At 33.1% G+C, this 22,453-nt stretch overlaps 1 protein-coding gene across 12 annotated transcripts in view; it reads left to right on the forward strand.

Moving 5' to 3' along the window:
* The window catches only part of RAP1GDS1 (Rap1 GTPase-GDP dissociation stimulator 1), a 182,475-nt gene that overhangs the window by 110,127 nt on the left and 49,895 nt on the right, over positions 1-22,453 (forward strand). For 6 of the 12 annotated variants that reach the window (NM_001100426.2, NM_021159.5, NM_001100427.2 and 3 more), the window contains 2 exons: positions 7,507-7,653; positions 20,442-20,570. The exons of 1 other annotated variant lie outside the window; for it this stretch is intronic. In NM_001100426.2, the coding sequence (NP_001093896.1) occupies positions 7,507-7,653; positions 20,442-20,570 (276 nt within the window). Of the gene's footprint in view, positions 1-7,506; positions 7,654-15,925; positions 15,994-20,441; positions 20,571-22,453 lie in introns of those variants that run through there. 5 more of the 12 variants (NM_001100428.2, XM_024454165.2, NM_001100429.2 and 2 more) reach the window with 2 other exon arrangements.

The following is a 22,453-nucleotide window of genomic DNA, read 5'->3' on the forward strand; positions in this document are numbered from 1 at the left end:
CTGTTGCCCAGGCTGGAGTGCAGTGGTGCGATCTTGGCTCACTGCAACCTCTACCTCCCAGGTTTAAGTGATTTTCATGCCTCAGCCTCCCGAGTAGCTGGGATTATAGACACACGCCACCATGCCTGGCTAGTTTTTGTATTTTTAGTAGAGATGAGATTTCACTGTGTTGGCCAGGCTGGTCTCAAACTCCCGCCTTGGCTTCCCAAAGTGCTGGGATTACAGGTACGAGCCTCCGCCCCTGGCCAATACCGCTTTTTCTGATGTCTACTATGTCTGACAATGTAGACACACCAGTTTTCCTTTGATCAGTGTTTGCATGGTATATCTTTTACCAACCTTTTAATATTATTTAATATTCTTAAAGTGGGTTAATTATAGACAGCATGGTTGGGTCTTGCTTTTTTACCCAATCTGACCATCTCTCCCTTTTAAGTGACATTTAGATTATATGTATTTAATATGATCTTTCTGTGGTTGGCTTCAAATCTACCATCTTCCTAGTTGTTTCTTTTTTTCTCCCACAAAGGCGGGTTTATTTCCGAACCTAGTTGTTTTCTGATTGTCTGAACTGTTCTTTGTTCCTCTTTCCCTCTTTGTCCGCCTTTTTTTGGATTCTTCACATTTAGCTCCATTACTGGCTTCTTGTGTTTTTTTATTGTTTGTTTTTGAGGTGGAGTCTTGCTCTGCCACCCAGGTTAGCGTGCTGTGGCGCGATCTCGGCTCACTGCAACCTCCGCCTCCTAGGTTCAAGCAATTCTTCTGCCTCAGCATCATGAATAGCTGGGACTATAGGTGCACGCCACCATGCCCAGCTAATTTTTGTATGTTTTTTAAATAGAGATGGGGTTTCACCATGTTGGCCAGGCTGACCTCGAACTCCTGACCTGAAGTGATCTGCCTGCCTTGGCCTGCCAAAGTGCTGAGATTACAGACATGAGCCCTCGTGCCCAGCCCATTACTGGCTTCTGATGCCACTTTGTAAGTTTTTAGTGGTTGCCCTGTGGCTTGCAATATTTATTCTTAGCTTATCACAGTTTATCTTCAAATATTATGTCACATTAATTTAATCAATCACCTTACTGTACAGTTCCACTTCCTCCCTTAAATCTTTTATGCTTCTGTTTTCTATTTCATTTTTACATATGTTAGAAATCCCAAATATATTGATGTTATTTTTACTTAAAAATTTGAGACACGGTCTTGCTGTGTTGCCCAGGCTGGTGTGTAGTAGTGCAATCATGGCTCACTGTAACCTTGAACTCCTAGGCTCAGGTGATTCTCTTACCGCAGCCTCCTGAGTAGCTAGGACTACAAGTGCATGCCACAATGCCTGGCTAATTTCTTTTTTTCCTTTTGAGTAGAGACAGGTTCTCACTGTGTTGCCCAGGCTGATCTCAACCTCCTGGCCACAAGAGACCTTCCTGCCTTGGCCTCCCAAAGTGCTGAGATTATAGGCGTGAGCCACTGTACCTGGCCTGTTTTTACTTTAGACAGTCAATTATCTTTTAAAAATAGGAGAAAAACTGTCTTAACATACTTTTATCATTTTCAGTGCACTACATTCTTTGGGTAGATCCAAATTTTTGTCTAGTATACCTCTAACTGAAAAACTTTTACTAACATTTTTTGCATAACAGGTTTATTGCAATGAATTATCTCTTTTATTTGCTTGAAACAATTTTACTTAACCTTACTTACTGGAAGATATTTTCACTGGGTGTAGAATTCTAGGTTGGACTTTAAAGATGTTACTTCATTGTCTTCTAGCTTGCATAGTTTTTGATGAGAAGTCTGCTTTATTTCTTATTTTTTCTGTTTTTTTCCCCCTTCCGGCTGCCTTTAAGAGATTCTCTCTCTTTCCCTCTCTCTCCCTCCCTCCCTCTCCCTCTCTCTCCCTCCCTCCCTCTTGTTTGTTTTTCAACAGCTTGGGTATGATAGGTCTAGGTATGTTTAATTGTTTTCCTTTGCTTGGGGTTCTCTAAGCTTTAATAGATTTGTAGCATGATGGCTTTCATTTTTGGAAAATTTTTCAGTCATTAACTCTTAAAATATTTTTCTACCCTGTTCTCTAGCACTTCATTCTCTGAGATTCCAGGTACAGTAGTGCCCCCTTATCCACAAGGGATACATTCTGAGACCCTCAGTGGACACTTGAAACCAAAGGTAGTACCAAACCTGTATATATCATGTCTTTTTAAATATATTTTCACACCTGTAATAAAGTTAAACCATGAATTAGGCATGGTAAGAGATTAATACAATAACTAATAGAACAGTTATAGCCATATGTCAGCATCACTGCTCTTACACTTTGAGGCCATTAAGTAAAATAAGCATTACTTGAACACAAGCACTGCGATACCGTGACAGCTGATCTGACAGTTACTTAAGTGACTAATGGGCAGGTAGTGTATCTAGCATGAATACACCGGGCAAAGAGGGAGTTCATGATTTGAATGGGATGGTGTAAAATTTTATGTTACTCAGAACAGCGTGCAATTTAAAACTTTATTTTTTTTATTTCTGGAATTTTTTTTATTATTTTCATGCTACCATTGACCATGGGTAACAAACTGCAGAAAGTAAAACCATGGATGAAGGGGGACTACTGACTACTGTACACTTAGGTTAGACCATTTGCTATTTTCTTTCCTTCAGCTCTTGGGTGCTCTGGGTTATCCCACTCCCACTTGTTTAGTTTGTTCATGTTTTAGTTTGTGTAATTTCTATTGATCTATGAGTTCGCTGAGTCTTTTCTTGGTTTGTTGAGTCTGCTATTCAGCCTGTTGAAATAATTCTTTGTGTTGCTCCTTTCTAGCATTTCCATTTAACTCTTTCTTACAGTCTCCATTTTCTCCAAAATTTCACATCTATTCATGGATATTATTCAGTTTTTCCACTAGATCCTGTAACGTAGTCATTATCGTTAAAGTCCCTGTATGATAGTTTTAACATCTGGATCACCTGTGAGTTTTGTTGGTTTCATCTTTTGACAGTGAGTAATTTTTTTCTTAAAATGCATCTCAACTTTTTATTGCAGCTGGATATTATTGTAGGAAAACAGATTAACAGTATTTAATCTCTGGAATTGAGCGCACTTCCTTTTAATTTAGGGTGTTCGCATAGGGTAGAGGTCAAGCCAGTCTAGTCAGGAGTCGAACTAGGTTCATGTTTTGTTGTTGCTCACCTTACTTGAGTGCAGTATGTTCTTCAAATTCCTTTAGTAGTCGGCCGTTCTTACTTTATGCTTAGAGTATGGGTGCTGGAGGACTTTCCTTAGTGTTCTTGCTTTGACTTCAGGCTTGGACCCGTTCCCGCACAGCTGTGGGCTTTTTCTGTGCTCTTGCTCCTCTCCCAGTGGTAAATTGTTGTTAACAAGGAACATTCCTATTACAGTTAGCCTGTAGAGCAAAATCCCATTTCTAAACAATACTCACACACACAAAAAAGAAACTTAAATATTTCACAGTGTTGTATTATATTCTATTATATGGAGTGGTGTGTTAGTTTCCTAGGGCTGCTGTAACAAAGTACCACAAACTAGTTGGCTTAAAATAAGAGAAGTTTATTGTTTCACAGTTCCAGAGATTTTTAAGTCTGAAATCAAGGTGCTCACCAGGGCATGCCTCTCTCTGAAACCTGTAGGGGAGGAGGACATTTTTGCCTCTTTGTAGCTTCTGGTGGTCCCAGGTGTTCTTTGGCTTATGGTAGCATAATTCTAATCCCTGCCTCTGTCTTCACATGGCATTCTCCTCTGTGCATCCCCCTCCTCTTATAAGGATACAAGTCATATTGGATTAAAAATCTGCCCTACTCCAGTAGGACCTCACCTTAACTAATTATATCTACAATGACCCTGTGTCCAAATAAGGTCACATTCTGAAGTGCTAGGGATTAGAACTTAAACATAGATTGAAGGAGGGCACACAATTTAACCCATGATAAGTAGAAATGACATTTATGTCTCAAAAACATTACTCATATCAGTAACATTATCTCCTATAGAAAAAGATACTAAACCACAGAATATTAAAAGCCAGGCTAAGAATACACTAACATATTAGAAAGATTTTTGATACTTGCTTCCTTTTCAATTCAGATAAATTTAAAGATGCAAGTGACAGTTTTTAAAAATCACATTTTAATATGAAATGTACAAAGTCCAACGTATGTGTGTGTGTCACTCTCACAATCATCCATCCTCAAGGTGAATAGTAATTTATCAATATCTGTCAAAAGGCCCCATTCATTAAAAAATTCTTGAGTACCTACTATATACTAGGCATTTGCCATACACAAGGAGGAAACGTAGTAAAATCCAAAGTTAGGATGCACTGTACGACATGCCACAATAGTTAGATTCAGTGGCTGTATTTTAGGTCTTTTCCTCACCCTTAGTGTATAACTTGTACCTGATAATAGTGTTTAACTTGATAACATTTTTTTTTTCTCATTTGTGAGACATGATAACCATGACACAAATTTTATTGCTGCTTGCTTTTGATTACAGAAGGGTAATGGAAGTGCAGTAACTCTTTAGATTTAAAGCCCTGCTCTTAGCTAATGTGAAGAATGATCATACTTGTGCTGGAAACTGCTTTGTGTGAAAGATCATCATTAAAGGATTTAATAGGACTTTAAAGAGTGGGCTGCACTTTTTCCAGTGGTTGGATGCTTCATAATTAAATGAGGAAAATTGAGATGTAAATTATATTTTTAGAAGTGACAGCTCAGGATGCTTCATAGGTTAGCTGTTACTTATGAGAAGAGTGAAAGATGAGCTTACACTTAGGGATACACAAGTTTAGGATAGGGAACCTTTTGAGAATTATTTTTAAGTGAACAATAATACTCATTATGATAATGTAACATGAAGGTATAGAGTTAACTATGGAAAACCAATTTATATGGACTTGTGCAATGATAGCTGTTGTATTTAAAATGATTTGTTTTCTAAATACTACTGGAAAAATAAGTCAGTTGTAAGATACTTCTAAAGATGACTTATGTCACTGGTTTTGCTAAAGGAACACATTATTATCATTTATTCCTTTGAATCCTTAAATTCTATTAAATATTTTTAAAAAAATGCTTTTACTGTGTTTCTCAGGCTGACTTGTCCAAAGAAAGAAAAAAGCTGTATAATCAATCATTCCTATAGTGGTGGTTAATATTTTTTGAACCCAGATCACTATTATTGTAATACATGCTTTGCTTTTCTTCTCATATTTGGTAATAATGTAATTTCTAGTATACAGATTGTGTTTATGCCTTGCAAACAATTCTCAATAACACATGAGCAAAAAGCTGTGTTATAGACAATTCAGAGGAGGGGGGTGGAAGGAGAGGAGGAGAAGAAAAGCACTGTGGCTCTGAAACACAAATAGGTAATTTGCTTTTAATTGTATTGTGTTTTTATTGCATCAAATTTGTTGAATAAGTTTGTATTTTAATTTATTGAATTATGGAATTTTTGAACATTTACTAGCTTAGTGTGGATAAGAAGCCAGCTTTCATTCACAGTTCATTGCAAATAGGTGCCACATAGTTTCTAAGCCCTAGTTTCCTAGTATATGAAATTCCTAATATATGAATACAAGGCTTAGTTTAGCTATTCTCTAAGATGTCTTCTTCTAAGTAAGTCCTAAGCATACATGATTTATATTTCAAAAGCCCAGTTTACTCAGGAATTAGAATCAAATACTATTCGAGCTTTGCAATTTAGGATGGGATGTACTATACCTTCATATTATTGAAGGTCTGAACATTTAGATTTGTAATCCTAATGTTCAGTTTTCTGAGACATCATCCACATAGAAATTGCCCAGTAATTTAGATAATTTACATCTATGTTATGGAAAACAAAAATTTGGAAATTAGATTTCTAAATGAGATTTGACCAATTGTTCTTGGCTGGTTCATCTAGCTAGTTACTCTGGCAGTATAAGAATTTTCTGTGATCTGATGAGCTGATTAGCATACAGTCCTGTTTTCCATCTTTATAACAATACAGTAAAACTAAGTGGATAAAACTGTTTTGTTTCATTTTAGTGTGGATTTCCTCAAAAATTTTCAAAATTATGAACATAGTATTTCTGAGGTCTTACTATATAATTGTGTGTGTGTGTGTGTGTGTGTATACCATAAGAAATTACATATTTTAAGTTGTATCATCTAATATGATTCAGCAACAGTAATAAAGATGTGACCTTAGTTTCAGTTCTTATATTTGGAAAATGAAAATCTTTCAAATTGTAACTAACTTCGTAGCTGTAATTCCTTTGTGAGTCATTTATTTTGCTGATCTTTGTGCTATATTTCTGTAGCTGAATAGTACAGTGTGGTAGCTACTAGCCAAATTTAGCTACTGAGCAATTTAAATGTGGCTAGTCTGAGTTGAGATGTAACTGTAAGGGTATAAAACACTTGGATTTTGAAGATATATTGTGAAGATGATAATACAAAATATTTTGTTAATTTATTGATTTGCATATCAGAGTGATATATATTGAATTGAATAAAATATTACTAAAATTAATTTTCACCTGTTTTTTAATGTGTCTATTAGTAAATTTAAATTACACATGTGGTTCACATTTATGGCTCACACATTTCTCTTGGACCTCTTCTAGAGGGTGGTTATATTTTATCTAAGGTGTCAGATTTAGAATGACACGTATTCTTCTTTTAATTTATTTTCATTCTTATGTTCAAAAGTTAGAAAGTAGTCTAAAGCTGTTTGTATGTTCTGACAGTTAAGTAACATCTGTTTTATGCAATGTAGATGGACACATAATGGAAGTTATGTTTGACCATCACTTGACCACTTTTTGTAATGTTGAATTATATTGGTGTGCCCTAGAAGAGAGGGAATAAGGAAAAAAGAAACAAATCAAGAATGAAAAAAGGGAACATGCTTCTGGACTATAGGAAATGCCATTAACAAAGACCATAGTACCAATATTCAGGAATTACCTATTATGATTTAGAGTTACACCATATGGTTTTCTTTAATAAGAGCTATTATCAAAGACATAATAACGTTCCCATATGGTTTTCTTCGATAATAGCTGATTTTGAAAACCAATGACAAAAAGTTATATTTAGTGATTTTTTCAACCTGAGGGACAAAAACTTATATCAATAGAATATCACTTAGTTTCTGTTTTTTTCTCTTACACAGCATTGTCATTTGTGAAAGAGGGAGTGAAAGTTTTCATATTGTAAACTTCTAGGACACAGGGAAGTTCTGTAAGCTCCTATATGATGCCAATGAGAATAATCTTGGTTTGCTTAAAAAGTGATTGTCTCTTTTCCCCATCCCACCCCCATTTCCATGTTTATTTCTTTTGTTTTTTTCTGAAAAGACATATTTAATGTCCTGCCTAGGTTTATTTTCTATTTATTCACAAAATAAAGAATAACACTGTTATGTTTTGTATTTGAAATTGTAAGGTACATTTCTTTTTTCTTTTATTTTTAATTTAACTCTTTGTTTTACAGATGAGGGCAGAAGTGCAGTTGACCAAGCAGGTGGTGCACAGATTGTAATTGACCATTTAAGGTCACTGTGCAGTATAACAGATCCCGCCAATGAGAAGCTCTTGACTGTCTTTTGTGGCATGCTGATGAACTATAGCAATGAGAATGGTAAACAAAACTGAAAACTTGCTTTATCTCTGGGGGAAAAATTAAAAATTATCTTTACTATAGTGCAAAACAAAAATATTTGAAAAATGATGAACAAAGAATTCGTAAGTGGCATATAAAATTAATAATTAGCCAACATTAAATTTCAATGTTTCAAAAATGTAAAATGGTTAATTTACTAAATGGGACTAATTTTTGAAGGGCTGCCAGTTTTGATCAGTATCAAAAACAAAAACTCCACAGCCCTATAGTATGATTTAAGCATTCTTACTGTGAACATTTTAAAAATAAACAATATTAAAATAGTTTTATCTTCGTTATATATATACCAGGAGTAGCTTTAAAATATGAACACTGTTTGCAGAAGTAAAATTATTTTATCTAGATGCTAGGTTTACTTCGAATAATTTTTTAAAACTCTAATAAAATCTGGCTTTAGAAACAAGTTCAGAGCAACTGTAGAGATCTCATTTTAGAAATTTAATTATTGTAAACAGCAGTTTCTTTTCTCTGTAAAACATTTTTAGACCCTAGAAACAAGTGATGTATCAATAATTTTCAGATAGCCTATATGGTTAATTAAATGCATATAAATCTGTGATATTAAGGCTTCACAATACGTTTGTGTCACAAAATATCCATTTGTTTCTTTATCATCTTATGTGAATCACTGTGTGGATCAGACATTCAAATTTTGGTATGTTCCTGGTATGTAACACAAATAAGGTCTTTCTGTGGTTTGTTTCATAATGGCATTTTAAGTTGTGATATTTTGGCAGAGACATTTTATTTGCATATTAGACATGCAGTATTATTCTTTACTTTCGTGTGTTGTAGAAACACGTGGCCCTTTTGGCATACTTTTTATTTTTTTTCACATTTTATAGTTGTGGGTCCAAAGAAATATTCTCAATAATTCAAAAAAAAAAAAAAAGATAAACCTTGGCAATAAATGGCTACTGATATTTGGCCCTTGTTGTTAGTGACAACAGTGAATGGTGGGGACTGTGGTAAGTTGAAGAGCCCTTGTCCTATTGAAAGGGGAAAACCACTACTCTTCTCTAGCCAGTTGTTTCTGTATGACGGTTTGGCCAAATACTGCCCAATCTTTATATTTTGGGGATGGGAGGTGGGGGAGAAAGCTGAAATGTCTAGTTTGTTATGTGACATCTGAGTTTTAAATGTTGGATTACATATTTTTAATACTATAGAAGCTAAACAGAAAGTATCTTCAGGCCTCATCCTGTCCAAGGGCTACCAGTTTTAAGCCTTTGAATTAAGATAATAGAGTTTTTATTGATCAAATGGCTTACATATTAAACTTGAGCTAATAATAAATGGTAGTCTTCATAGGATAAGTTACATCTGTTTTTCCTTCCTTCTGGTGGAATCAATTTTGAAGAACAAATGCCCTAAATATAAATATGAGAAACAGAAAGGACAGAGCCTGAGAAATCCACAAAATAAATACATATTTCCTAAATAATTGAAATTTAACCACAATACATAGGTGTCTGAATTGCATTAAGAAATCATTGGTCAGATTTTCATATTGTTTTCTTTGCTTTTAACTGCATTTGGGCTTGGACATTTGAGGAAGTAGGAAGAACACTAAATGGGAAAAAGTTTTAGAAATATAAATGAAAGAAATTTTAAGAAGTTATTCCAGTTTTGGAAGTAGTAGAATTAGTCTTGTTATGCATCTAACCTAGCTGTTAGTTCTTTGAGGAAGCTGTTAAAAAAAAATCTGTATAGAGGTATTAATATATCAGATGGCTGGTCTTCAAAAGCATCACTATTTCCAATCCAAAGCAGTGATTGAGTCCCATAATATTATAGGGTATCCCAGTGTGTAGAGAAGTGTTCTGAGAAAGAAGATTATAATTAACAGCATGTGGAGTGCACAGTCTAACTGTATAATATATATATTTTTTGAAGAGTAGGCTTTTTTCTAGAGCTCAGGCATTCCCAAGAAATAACTTAGAGACTTTAGAAAGCTATATTAACTTTTCTCTGAATATTATTAGACAAATGGTCTTTTTCTTCCTTTATTTCAAAAGCTGCAGTTTGCAGCTTTTAAAACTTATCGAATAAAAAAGACATAATCTTGAGTATTTTTAAGAAACAAATGCGAAACTTGTAACTATCATCATCTTTCCTCTACTTCCTTTTTACATTTTGTCTGTCACGAGTGTCTTAATTTGTGAAGTGATTCTTTTTCTTCTAATGTTCACTGAAATTATATCCTTTTATGTATGTTTGGCATAATTATTAAAGCGTCTTTATTGTTTTGTCCATTATTTGCTTTCTCTTTTCCTTAAAATTTATGTTTGAAGACTTAAATATTACATCATCTTTACTGACTCAGATTGTTTGGTATTGATCATGTGTACCTAGATAAGTCCCTGAAACAAAAAATAACAGCTTTTTGAAACTCAGGAGGCACTTTCTATTAGCACTAATAAGTGAAGTTTCTTTTTATATGTATTTACTATGTAGAACATCAGTATACAAGACTCTGCTAATTTATAAGTAAAATATTGAGTGACAAATAGCTTTTTCCTGCTGTAGTAGAAAAGTTAACTGCCTTGGACCCAATAACTTAAGCCGTATCTGTAGTTAGGAAGTTATTGTTCTTTAGCTGTATGTATAAAATGTTTAAAGTATGCTTATAAAAAAAAAGTACTGAGAGTGGTCACAAAAATCCACCAACATAGTTTCCCTGAAGAGAATATTTTCAAATTATTTATTAGTCTCAAAATTGAAACTTAGAATGTCTTGATTCAGAAGCTTCCTGTTCATACAGTAAAACTCAGAGCATATCCACTTTTTAAACCCATTAAATAAGGAATAAAACAAGTTTCCTAAACACATGCAAGTCATATATGTTATGAAAATATTCAGTAAAGTCATTTTTGTACCATTTGCTAAAGCTGTATATAATTCATAATTTATCAGTTTCAAAAGTTTTAAACTAGCTCAAGACTCTATACCTCTAAGCTATGAGCTGGATATATACTTTTGTTTCCCTATTGGTGAAGCAGTTAATACTCAGGTAAGTGTAGAATAATCTGAATAGCAAAAGTTATAATTGCTTAGCCAAAGAAGTTGTATCAATAATGCATAAATAAAATAATATTTAAATAACACAAAACTTTAGTAAAAATTGTTTTAAATTTATCCATTTTGGAAAAAATATACATGTTTTTCACATGGTGAAAAAGCACTCTTTGATTCTGTGGCTCATGAAAATAGCCTGAATATTTGACAATTATGGCTGTAGAAAAGCTTGTTGACACTTTGACATTCAGTTTGAGGGAATGTGTTGAACTTGCTATTTTTTTTTCTTCATTTTGTTACAACTTTAGTTATTCTATAATCCAAGGAACTCAAACCTTTAATTGTAGGTATTTTAATCTCATTAGTTTGTTATCTGTTTCCTAGCTTTGGTTACCCAATGCCAAAACATTGCAGTGATGACTGAAAATTTTGTTCAGTCATCCAGCTGTTTTCAAATATAACACTGTTTTAGCACATAGGAGTTTGGAAAATTTTCATTGATTGACTTTTTCTGGATACTTATTATCGTCTAAAATTTTCATTAGCAAATTCAATACTTGGAAGAGAAACATGTTATTGGAATGCATTTGCTTCATTAAATAAGTTAGAACCATTACAAACTCTTTCCCACTATGTTAGTTGATGTTCCTTATCTACGTATGATACATGGTGGCAGCAGTAAGGGGCATTGAAAACACACTGGTAGTAACAAGTACCAGATCTGTAATTAAAAATTTCCCATAGGTGATCCACAAGCGTGTTGAGTCTGCATTTGTACACTTGAATTAATTGCACGTTTGAATAGAAACAAACCAGTGATCTAAAGCAAAGCACTAAAGACCAGAACACCACCTTGTTGACAAATCTATTGGTAGTCACCATTGTTGTAAGTAGATGTAATTAATCAATAAATATCTCATGGAAGGTGTAATTGAGGGTTTAACTTTTTCTCCTAGTATTGTTGTGCTAGAGACACAAATAGAGGGAAAATTCTATTATAACTCTTAAAGAAAGTGGTAAATGATAAGCATTAAACACTAAAGTTACTATTTTACGTAAGCTATGCCATAAGAGAGAAAAGTAGAGGCAATTGAAAGATGCCATCAGGAAAGGAAAAAGTATCTTCTAAAATTATTAACATATGCAGTCTAGGCTTCTTCATCTGACCTATATTTTATATATACATGTATGATATGTGTATATATGATTTCTACAAATACAGCCGATTTTTCTAATATTTTAATTACTCCTCATTATTGAAAAACTAATTTCTCTTTTTTTGTAGTTCCTGAAATCTCTCTGAGATACCTACATGATAATTCTTATATTTATTTGTCGCATGGGCTGATGATAATTAAGCTATGGTTGAAGGGAGGCCATGTATGTAATTTAGGAAGTGTAACACCTGTGGCATATTATTGAAGCATGACAACTGAGTTTAAATATTAAGCTCATTGTTTAAATTCACTTGTTTAAAAAAGGCCTATACTACTTCTCCCCATATTAAAGATTATTTAATGTGTAATTAATCTTAGCTGCTACTTTCAGTCAATAGCAACAATTTCTTAGTTCATAATTAAAAACTAAAAAGCATGTTGGCCTGAGCTGCATGTTTATCCTTATGTTTCAGTATTACAATACTTTATTACGGGTGAAAAAGAGCATTTCCTAGATGTGTTAGATGTTTAGAAAAATGATTTGCTTCACATGAGTGAAGAACTATTTTTAAACTTTACTTACTGTGGTTACAAGCTAGTTAATAATTTATATATTTCCTAAATAGTAAATTATTTTTACCTTACTCTAAGGAAAAAGAACAAAACAATATGTAAAAGGTAAAATTGTATCTTTGCAATTTATTATCTTTTTTAAAGTTTTTCTTCTTTCTCAGAGATCCTTGTTCTGATACTGTCTTTTTTAATGAAACTAATTTTCCATCATACTACCTTACATGTATTTTATTTTTCCTCTATTTATGAAGACATGGGAGATGTACATTTAAGTTAACATCTTTTGAAGCCCAGTTTGTCACTTTTTACTCCAGTGAGTTAAATGAAGTGTGTTGAAGACTTATTGGGCAGCTGAAAAGTACTTAGGCTTTTTTATTCTTTCTTTATTATACTAACTGTTGTTCTTTATTTACTGTTGTTCTCTTTTTTAAAAATTCCTGAATTTTTGCTGTTTGTCCAACAGCTTTCTAGTCAGTTTGCTGAAAAAGGTTGCTTTCATAAAGTTCTACCACAAGTGTTATTTTAAACAAATTGTTTCACTAAAGAATAGAGCAGTTAGTTAGTCTGGTGCCTCTTGCTAATTCAACCTATTAAATTTGACCAATTAGACCAGGTTAGCTTTTAGTGATAATCTTCCTAGACTATTTCTATGATAATGCTGTTACTTAATGAACAGGCTGAGAGCTTGATTTTCAGTAGAGGTGTATCAGATACACATTTTGGTCTAATTCCACATGATCAAGTATTGGCATTTATATTCAGCTTTGGCCATTAGAGAATGAACTTCTGAATGTAAGAAGCTGAAATTTTATCTTAGAAAAATAAAATTATTATAGTCTTTTTGTCAGTAATTTTAGCAGTCTAATACTTAAAATTTGGCATTATATTATTACAGGAATAATACTTTCTCAGCATTGTTAGCTTCTAGATTGCTACTGCGATTATGATAATGCATTTAATATCATAATACCACATAGATGCCCACTTAGTTGAGGGCAGTGAAAGGGCAAAATATGTTTGGAGTTGCTCATTCTTTAGTATGGTTTTCTCATTTTTATTTGCTTTATGTCTGGATTGAAGATTAATCATAGCCGTTATCAAATATTATTTTCAAGATTTTTCTCATTGTGAAAATTTGAAGTGGAAAAATTGGTTTTCTGATTTTGATTTCATCCTTACAAGATGTATATCACCATTAATTATTGGTGCATTTTAATATAATAATATGCATTTACATTTCAACTGATAGAATTTCAACATATAAAGCATATAGGCAAATTTTCTCTTTACATGAAATGCTTACCTATATTTAAAAATAAATATTCAGATAGTAACAAGTCTGAAAGACCAGGTCTTTACTGTAAGTGTTCCTATACTAGTTGAAATATGATGATATGAGGCACATAATCATTGATCATGCACAAATTTTTAGGTTCCAGAAATGATGTTGAAGTAAGCATTGAGCTGTTTGGCCTTTCAAAAGCTGAGGCTAAAATCAGAGGTAAATAATAGGTTTTAGCCAGATATCTGTATTTGCGTGTCTAATTTAGGCCATTTACAAAGTCCATTCAGAGAGGCGCTGAACCCAGAAAAGCATCATGTGTAAATTAACTTTTATGAAGATTATTAATCCTGTTTTTTTAACTATAAGTAAAATCCAGTTAATACTGTACTGCCTATATTGTTTTATTTACTAAAAAATTTTTAAGTCCTACTTGAAAAACTAGAAAGTGAAATGCTTTTGAATATGCAGATGTATCTTGTTAACAGAATTTTTGCCTTGCAAATAACTTCTGTGCAATTTTAAACTGTAAAAACTAAATTACAATAATGCCCCATGGTAACTAGAAAAGTTTTTTTTAAGCTAATATATTCTTTTGTAAAAGAAGGGATTTCTATGTTTTTAAGCATATGTTTGTAAGATACACGTTGGAATATAAATTAATTTGGCATTAGCTTAACTTGCTGTACAAAAATTCAGGCTTAAATTTATACTTACTGTAGATGTGGTCTTTATCTCAGCAGTGCTGTATGAAAGCAGAGACTGAATTGGTTTCTCTTAATAAATGCTGCTTAAGCAACAGCTGGCAGTAGTCCTCTTTAAAAAAAAAAAAGACATTTAACTTAAAAGACCAGTTTTTTTCTGAGATGAAAGCGTAGAGTTTTCTTTAATCAGAATAAACATATCTATAGAATTTTTTTGTAGCAGTATTCATTGTAACAAAAGTTGATCTGTAACAAATAATTAACCTGTAGTAAATATGGGGAAAAATTATCTACTAGATTAAGGCATAATCACTCTAGTTGTCATTATATTGAGAACAGTAAATGAATAAGTTTCTTAAGAATAATAAAATATTTTTACTATCTGTTGATTTTTGCTTTGGCATTTTTTTGTTGTTGCTTCTGTTTTACATCAATCTCACACATATAATTTTGCCATTTATATTTAAAACTTTTACAAAAGGGAAATTTTGCCATGTAGAGACAATTTTTATTTTCAGAACCCAGAAAGAACCTTAGAATTATCTTTTCTAGTTTTTTATTTGTTAGCGACTAGGAAGAAATGTATAAATGTATTGTTTTAAACCTCCAATATTGTCAATATTAATGAATGTTGGCTTTTTTTTTTTTTGAAATTTCTATGTATCATTGAAATGTATAATGGGGCTTAAAGCGACAATCTGGGTGCAAAACACATGCATGTTTGATATAAAGAAGGCTTTAAAATAATTGAATTTTAAACACATGTAAGTAATCTAGTTTTTATATCCTCAACACTAGGCTTAGAATAAAGTTCTCCACTTTATAAACATTTGAGTATATAAAGTTTTTAACCACTAATCATCCTCTTGGTAGCCATATTTAAGTCAGTTTACTTTGCAGTGTTATAATAGAGCTAAAACTTGCTTGAACTTGAAGCTCTACTTCAGTTGTATCGTTTCTAATTTTTAATTTTCATATCCTTTTTTGGAAATACAGATATGTCATTAAATCAAAGGTAGTTTTCTTCAGTCTTTATTATGCCCAAATGATTTTTAGCCAATTTGTATTAGAACTTTTCATCAAGAGTTTTATTTGCTTCTTTCACTGTTTCAACTATGCTCAACTCATTTGACTGTAGATGGGATTTTTAATGCAAGCCTGTAAATGGCAATATCATATCATTATACTGTGAATAATATATCTACGTACTAATGTACAGACTGTATTTTGAATTGTGTCTTGTCTTGTTTTTACAAGTTCATTCTTAAGTTCTATTTACCAAAAAGCTTAATCTTATAACATTGTCTATAAGGCCTTAGGAATAAGGTAAACCTGTTATAATCTTCTTAACAAACTTATTTTTAGTAACTTCAGTTGAATCACTGGAATTCTCAGCATACTTTTCTGGACCTATAATCTAGTTATACCAATGTTTTAAACATTAAACTTAAAACTCAGGGGGGAAAAGGTTCCTCAACTTGAGATCTTCTCTCCAGATCTCCATTCTTTGGAGTTTCCATGAGTGTGACCTGAAGAACTTGGAACCATTGAAATTCAAATGTAGGTAGGTAAGTGTTCACACCAGCGCATGCGTTGATTGCCTTATATCTCTTTGTATATGCATCTGTATTGCACCCCCTCAGTGCCTTTCTTCCTCTTCCTCCCCATAGATCATGTAGGGCCTGTGTCATTTTGATATTATGTAATTTCGTAAATCTGTATTTGGTCAGTGTTTGTCTGTGATGTGTGTCAGGAGCAGTTAAAACAGAGTCTTCGGACATTTATGACATTGTGCTGTCTAAAGACTGTCTTTCACACATAAGTGTTTGCTATGTATGGGCCTGGGTTACATTTTTGTGAATTGCTGTGTTTGTTGAGCTCTGATAACATTCTCCTGGAGGTGCTGATATTCACTGAGGGAGGCAGAAGTAGTAGTCTTGCAGTTGCTTCACTTAATCTGCCTAATGTATCTAGAGAACAAGAACTATTTCTAGTTCTCAGAATTTCTTCCTGTTTGTCTTTCGCTTAAAAGTCATACTCCTGATAACATTCATGATACCATGGATGTCAGCTATTATCCTTTGAAAAACATTTGCAAGTTTTCTTTGGGCAATAAAAAAGATGATCAAATGAATCATTTGTTTATGTCAATAAGAATATCAACTTATCCTACACAAACAGGACCCCTACTTAATCTTTTCAAAAAACAGCACCGCCACCTACTGAATTGTAACATCTACATAGTAACTGAAATAGGTAGACTCAATCTGGAATGATCTCTTAGGCTTAAGTAGAGTTTCTTCTCAAATAAGCATGATGAGATGTTAGGAGCTTTATTAGTGTTATTTCTCTGAAAATATCAGAGTGCCAAAATCTAGGATTCCTACCAAGCTTTTATCTAATTTTTTTCCTGTTATCACTTCTGCTAAGCACATCATTGAACTTCAGAATATTTACCATGTTTCCCACTCACCTCCCAATCTCTTATAAAAATGAGATAGCCCTGGTGGGCGCTGTAGCTCACACCTGTAATCCCAGCACTTTGGGAGGCCGAGGCGGATGGATCGCCTGAGGTCAGGAGTTCGAGACCAACCTGTCCAACATGGTGAAACCCTGTCTCTACTAAAAATACAAAAATTAGCTAGGTGTGGTGGCAGGGGCCTATAATCCCAGCTACTCGGGAGGCTGAGGCAAGAGAAGTGCTTGACCCTGGGAGGCGGAGGTTGCAGTGAACTGAGATCACACCACCGCACTCCAGCCTGAGCAACAGAGTGAGACTTCGTCTCAAAAATTTTTTTTTTTAAAATTAGGTAGTCCTTTGACACTGGTTCTTAAATTTTGGTCTTATGATTTTAGATGTCTAAAAATTATAGAAGACCTAGAAGACTTTTTTTATGTATTTGGGTTATGTCTGTCAATATTTACTGAATTAGAAATTTAAATGAAGAAAATATTTAAAATTATTTAGTATTTCATTTTAAAATAAGAAACCTATTATATGTTAACAGAAATAACATTTTTATGAAAAATATTTTCCCAAAAAAATTGCTGCAAAGAATAGCAGTTTGTTTTACTATTTGTGATGGTGAAGAAAACAATGGCTACTAATACAATTTGGTGCCATTGCTGGTGTTCATGCTAAAATGCCAGCAGTTTTACCTACCATTGCTTTCGTACCATTGGTACAAATGTCAACACAGTGGCAAGAGCAAATAAAATCTTGGGATTTTTATGAAAATAGCTTTGACTTTGTGATCCTCTGAAAGGGTTCCAGGGACACTTTTTGAGAACCATATTCTAGGAGGCCTCTTTCTTTGTCCATGAAGTGGAAATTTATATCAACCTGTTTCTGTAAAAGTGTGTTTTTTTTTTCTCTCTCTCTCCTCCTCTGGACCTTCATTATACAAGTAGAATGGCAGGCCTGCCAGTCGGTGTGAACAAATTTTAGAATTATTTGAGTATGATTATTGTTTTAGTTAGCATCATAGAAGTAGATAGATATAAAAGAGAGCACCCAGTTGGTCCACAGTGAGTTCATCCAACTGGATGGCTATATATTTTTCTCTTTTGTGTGGTATGTGTGTTGTATGTGAGTATATAATGAATTTGGCTCCTGGGTAGTTAGACACATTTTCACGAAGCAACATGATTTTCATGAATTATGGCAATACCTACAATGTGCCATTTGGCTATGCTAACTTTTTCTCCCAATCTGCCATAATTTCAAATATTACTGCTTCAATTTGTATGCCAAAGATTGTATTAAGCGCTATAACATTTCTTTACTTTTCACCCCTCTTTTACCTGGAACCAAAATTTGTAACATTGTAAAAGCAGTCCAGAAAAGTGATAGATATGCCAAGTTAGCAGAACATGAAGAGCATTATCTTCTAAGTGGTATTCTTCTGTTATCTTCTCCATAAAATGTGTTATTCCTCTGATGTCCCTGGACTGTTGGATTTTTCATAGTTTGTACCAACAGAACTGAGGGGGTGTGTGATGCTTACATATATGCAGACATATAGTGGAGTTTGACTCACATTCAATGCATGCGCTAGTGCTCACGCTTACATACCTGAAATTTAATGATTCATCAGCTCTGCAGTATTTGACAAAGTAGTGAAAATGAATACATATATAAATAAAAATACTGCTAAAGAACAAGGATCTTCAGAGGTGACCCTCTAGTAAAGAGCCCTATCTACTGGTAAGTAACCTAAATAATTTCTAACTTGGAAAGCTCCTTGGTGCATGATTATTACAAATACTATAACCATAATGCAACTATTCTGCCAATATAATATAGATATAACACTATTGTGTAAGTATTTTACCTTTAAGTGTTGTGAATTATTGCTAAATTTCATATTCAGAAAAAAATTTAACATCAAAAGTATAAATACAGATTACTTAGTTGAGTATATTTTAATTCTTATCTCCTTTTAGATTTCATAACTTCATTACAAAATTTGAAATTGTTTTATTAGAGTATTTGAACTCTAAACATAAACTTCCATTTTTCCATGTTTATTTTTTATTCTTATTTTGGTAATAGGCCCCTTTCTATTATAGATGGGCTCCCACAACCAAACCAGATAATTATCTGTAATTAGCCAGTCATCAGTTTTCAGGGACACTAAGCCTCTGTTGACTATCTCCTCATACTTCACTCTAAAAGCAGGAAGAATTAACAACAAAGACCACCAGGCAATAATGAACTGGCATGTGAGATAGCTCAACTCTGTATGTTCTTTTCTGAAAATCACCCACCTGCTTCCTTATCTATAGATTAAGAACTATAAAGAGTAATAAAAAAAATTAGCAGGCCAACCCTGCCAAGGGATTGGAACTATGAGGAACGTGTTTTTGTAAGAAAGTTTTGTCTTTAGATTGCAAAGAGAAATAAAAGAATTTGGGGAAAATTATTAGCTTGAAAATGGCATATCATTTTAAAGAGAAAAAAATTTGTTTAGTCTTTAGATTGCAAAGAGAAATAACTTAAAAGAATTTGGGGAAAATTATTAGCTTGAAAATGGCATATCATTTTAATGAGAAAAAAATTTTTGAAGAGCATTTCTGTATCATTGGATGAACCAGTTATGGACAGTTATAGTGTTTTGCATAAACATATGATTTTTTGTATGTCTTTCTTAGCTTATTCTAAGAGGCAGTACTTTTGGTGTTCATTTTTGGTTCATTTATCTTCAACTTTGCTACAGGTATTCTATTATTATTGTCCATGAAGAACCCTTGTGGAAATCCAAGGCATGTTTAGTACTTCAAAATCAATTAGTTTCTTAGAAAATGAAGGCAAGCAATGATGACAAGGCCATGTTAACCTCATTCTCTTCACCTCTCTAAGCCAGACTTTCCTCTCTCTTACTGAGATGATCTGTCACTATAATTAAATAAAACTTTAAAAAGAAAAATATTTTAGGTAACTTTTTTTTCTGGTACATCTCTTCCTAGCAGTCATCAAGAACACTCTGGTTGCAAATATTCAGAACCAATCATTTTTGTGTATTTATTAAATATTTTTAATTTTGTATTATGAAAAGTGTTTTTAAAGGATTCTAAGATTTTTTTCTTTCTTGGTCTTCATTAAACTTGCTACTTTTCTCATGCTTTTCATATTCTGTGATTTCCTGTAATGCAAATGTTACTCTAAATTTTTCACTCAAAAACTAATGGTAATGTTTGTTTATACTTATTAAAAGCCTGCTTTTTAATGGTATAAGACCCCATTTAGAAAACTAATGATTTGATATAGTCTTCAAACTATTTTTATTTCTAAATGCCTTTTGGTTATTCAAAGGATTCAAAACTAAACTCTTCTGAACTAATGTTTAAAATGTTCAACACAATCATATGAATGGACTTCATTTTCTATTACTGTAATTTAAATAACTTTGAGTTTCCAATAGGGAAAATAAGAGGTGTTTTCTTCTTATAATGTTCATTTGACATGTCAACACTTTCTTTTCTGTTGTTGTTTTTTTTTTGTTTTTACAGATTCGCTTCAAGCTCAGCTTATCAATATGGGTGTTATTCCTACCTTAGTGAAATTACTGGGCATCCACTGCCAAAATGCAGCTCTTACAGAAATGTGTCTTGTTGCATTTGGTAATTTAGCAGAACTTGGTAAGTCTTAGTCATGAACCACAAATGTAATTAACTTATTAATGTGCTTACAATAAATTTTTCTGTAGATATTAAGAAGCTAGAAATCCATTTAGATTGTATTAGTTTATTTTTTGAAGCATTTGAGATATTTCCATCAATATTTTAAAAAGTAAATCCAATTAGATCTTATGATTGCATTGTTTATGAGAGCGTTTTATTTCCCTAATAATTAATTTTACATATTAATGTTTAAAGCTCACATTGTACATTATGTAACAGAGTTGAATATTTACACTTGTCTCCACTTGACTTTAATCTTTTTACATGAGGGATGGCAATTGTATGTCCACGGGTAAAAATAAGATTGAAATGTATTGCATAGTGGCTTGTGCCTGTGGTTCCAGCACTTCGGAAGGCCGAGGTGGGTGGATTGCTTGAGCTCAGGAATTCGAGACCAGTCTGGGCCCATCTTTACAAAAAATACAAAAATTAGCTGGGTGTGGTGGCTAGTGCCAGTAGTCCTAGCTACTCAGGAGACCGAGGCAGGAGGATCACTTGAGCCCAGGAGGCAGAGGTTGCAGTGATCCGACATCATGCCACTGCACTCCAGCCTGGGTGGCAGAGCCAGACCCTGTCTCAAGAAAAAAAAAGAAATTTATTACATTTCATATAAATTGCATTTTTCTCAGGTAAAGAGGAATCTAACGTTAGACTAAGGTTCTTCATCCTCTTTTCATGAAATCTCAAAACATGGCAGAGGACTTTTTTCTATGAATATATGTGTTATAGTATTAGAAAACAAAATCTGTGGAATCCTTGAAATTCAGAAGGCAAACAAAACCAGACCAATGCTGGAAACACATCCTAGTCATAACACAGAGGAGGATGATGGCCTCAGCACCTCCACCTCTTCATTTTTCTCTTTGTTATGGATTACCCTTTCTTCTTCCCCACGCCCCCACCTTCTTGTCTTCCTTCACAACCCACAATCATGTTAATAATAAATTATTATGGGCATAGTGAAATGAAATGGTGTTTTGTCATAGCTAAATACCGTAGTTACAACAAACAAATATATCAATTCTGTTACGTACCACATTCTATAAATAAAAGCATGAAGTCACTAGTCTTGGTTTTTCTAACTGAAAGCTCATCTTGATTTTAACATTTTACTTTTATTTTGTCTTCCAAGCAAAGGGAATAGAAATTATTAAAGTTATTTTTAGTAAAAGTCATTCTTACTCAATGGGTCATATCCCAGTATTTGTGAATGTTTCTCATCTTCTCTCTTCATCTGCTTTTTCTTTTTTATACTAGCCTAATTAACACATTTTTTCTGTCATTCATTCAAGTGAGACCAAGAATAAAAGTACATTCATTTAGTATTTGACAAAGTTATTCTTTTCCGTGATTAAAATGGAATGTAGGAGTTTGTGTTCAGTATGGTTGGCAGAAATAAAACAGAAATTGTGTTATAATCCGATACTGAAAGTGTAACAGAAACATGATTGGTTCAAATCTTTCTTCACTTGCCTTCAGTTTTATGAAAATCAAAGAGTGCAGGTACTTTGCTGTTACATTTTAATGTGAGCAGTTTCTAGAACAGCACTGTCCAATACAGTAGCTACCAGCCATGTGGCTTAATGGGCATTGAAATATGAAGTCTCAATTGAGATGTGTTCAGTATAAAATACACAATCGATTTCAAACACTATATATGAAAAATATAAAATCTCATCAATATTTCATATGTTGATTGCATGTTGACATGATAATTTGAATATATTGGGTGAAATAAAATATTAAAATGTTTACTTTTTAACTTTTTTAGCACATCTTACTAGAAAATCTAAAATTATATATATGGTTCCATTTTTGCTCTCATTATATTTCTGTTGGAC

Source organism: Homo sapiens, chromosome 4 (assembly GCF_000001405.40).
Source record: "Homo sapiens chromosome 4, GRCh38.p14 Primary Assembly".
Lineage (NCBI taxonomy): Eukaryota > Metazoa > Chordata > Mammalia > Primates > Hominidae > Homo > Homo sapiens.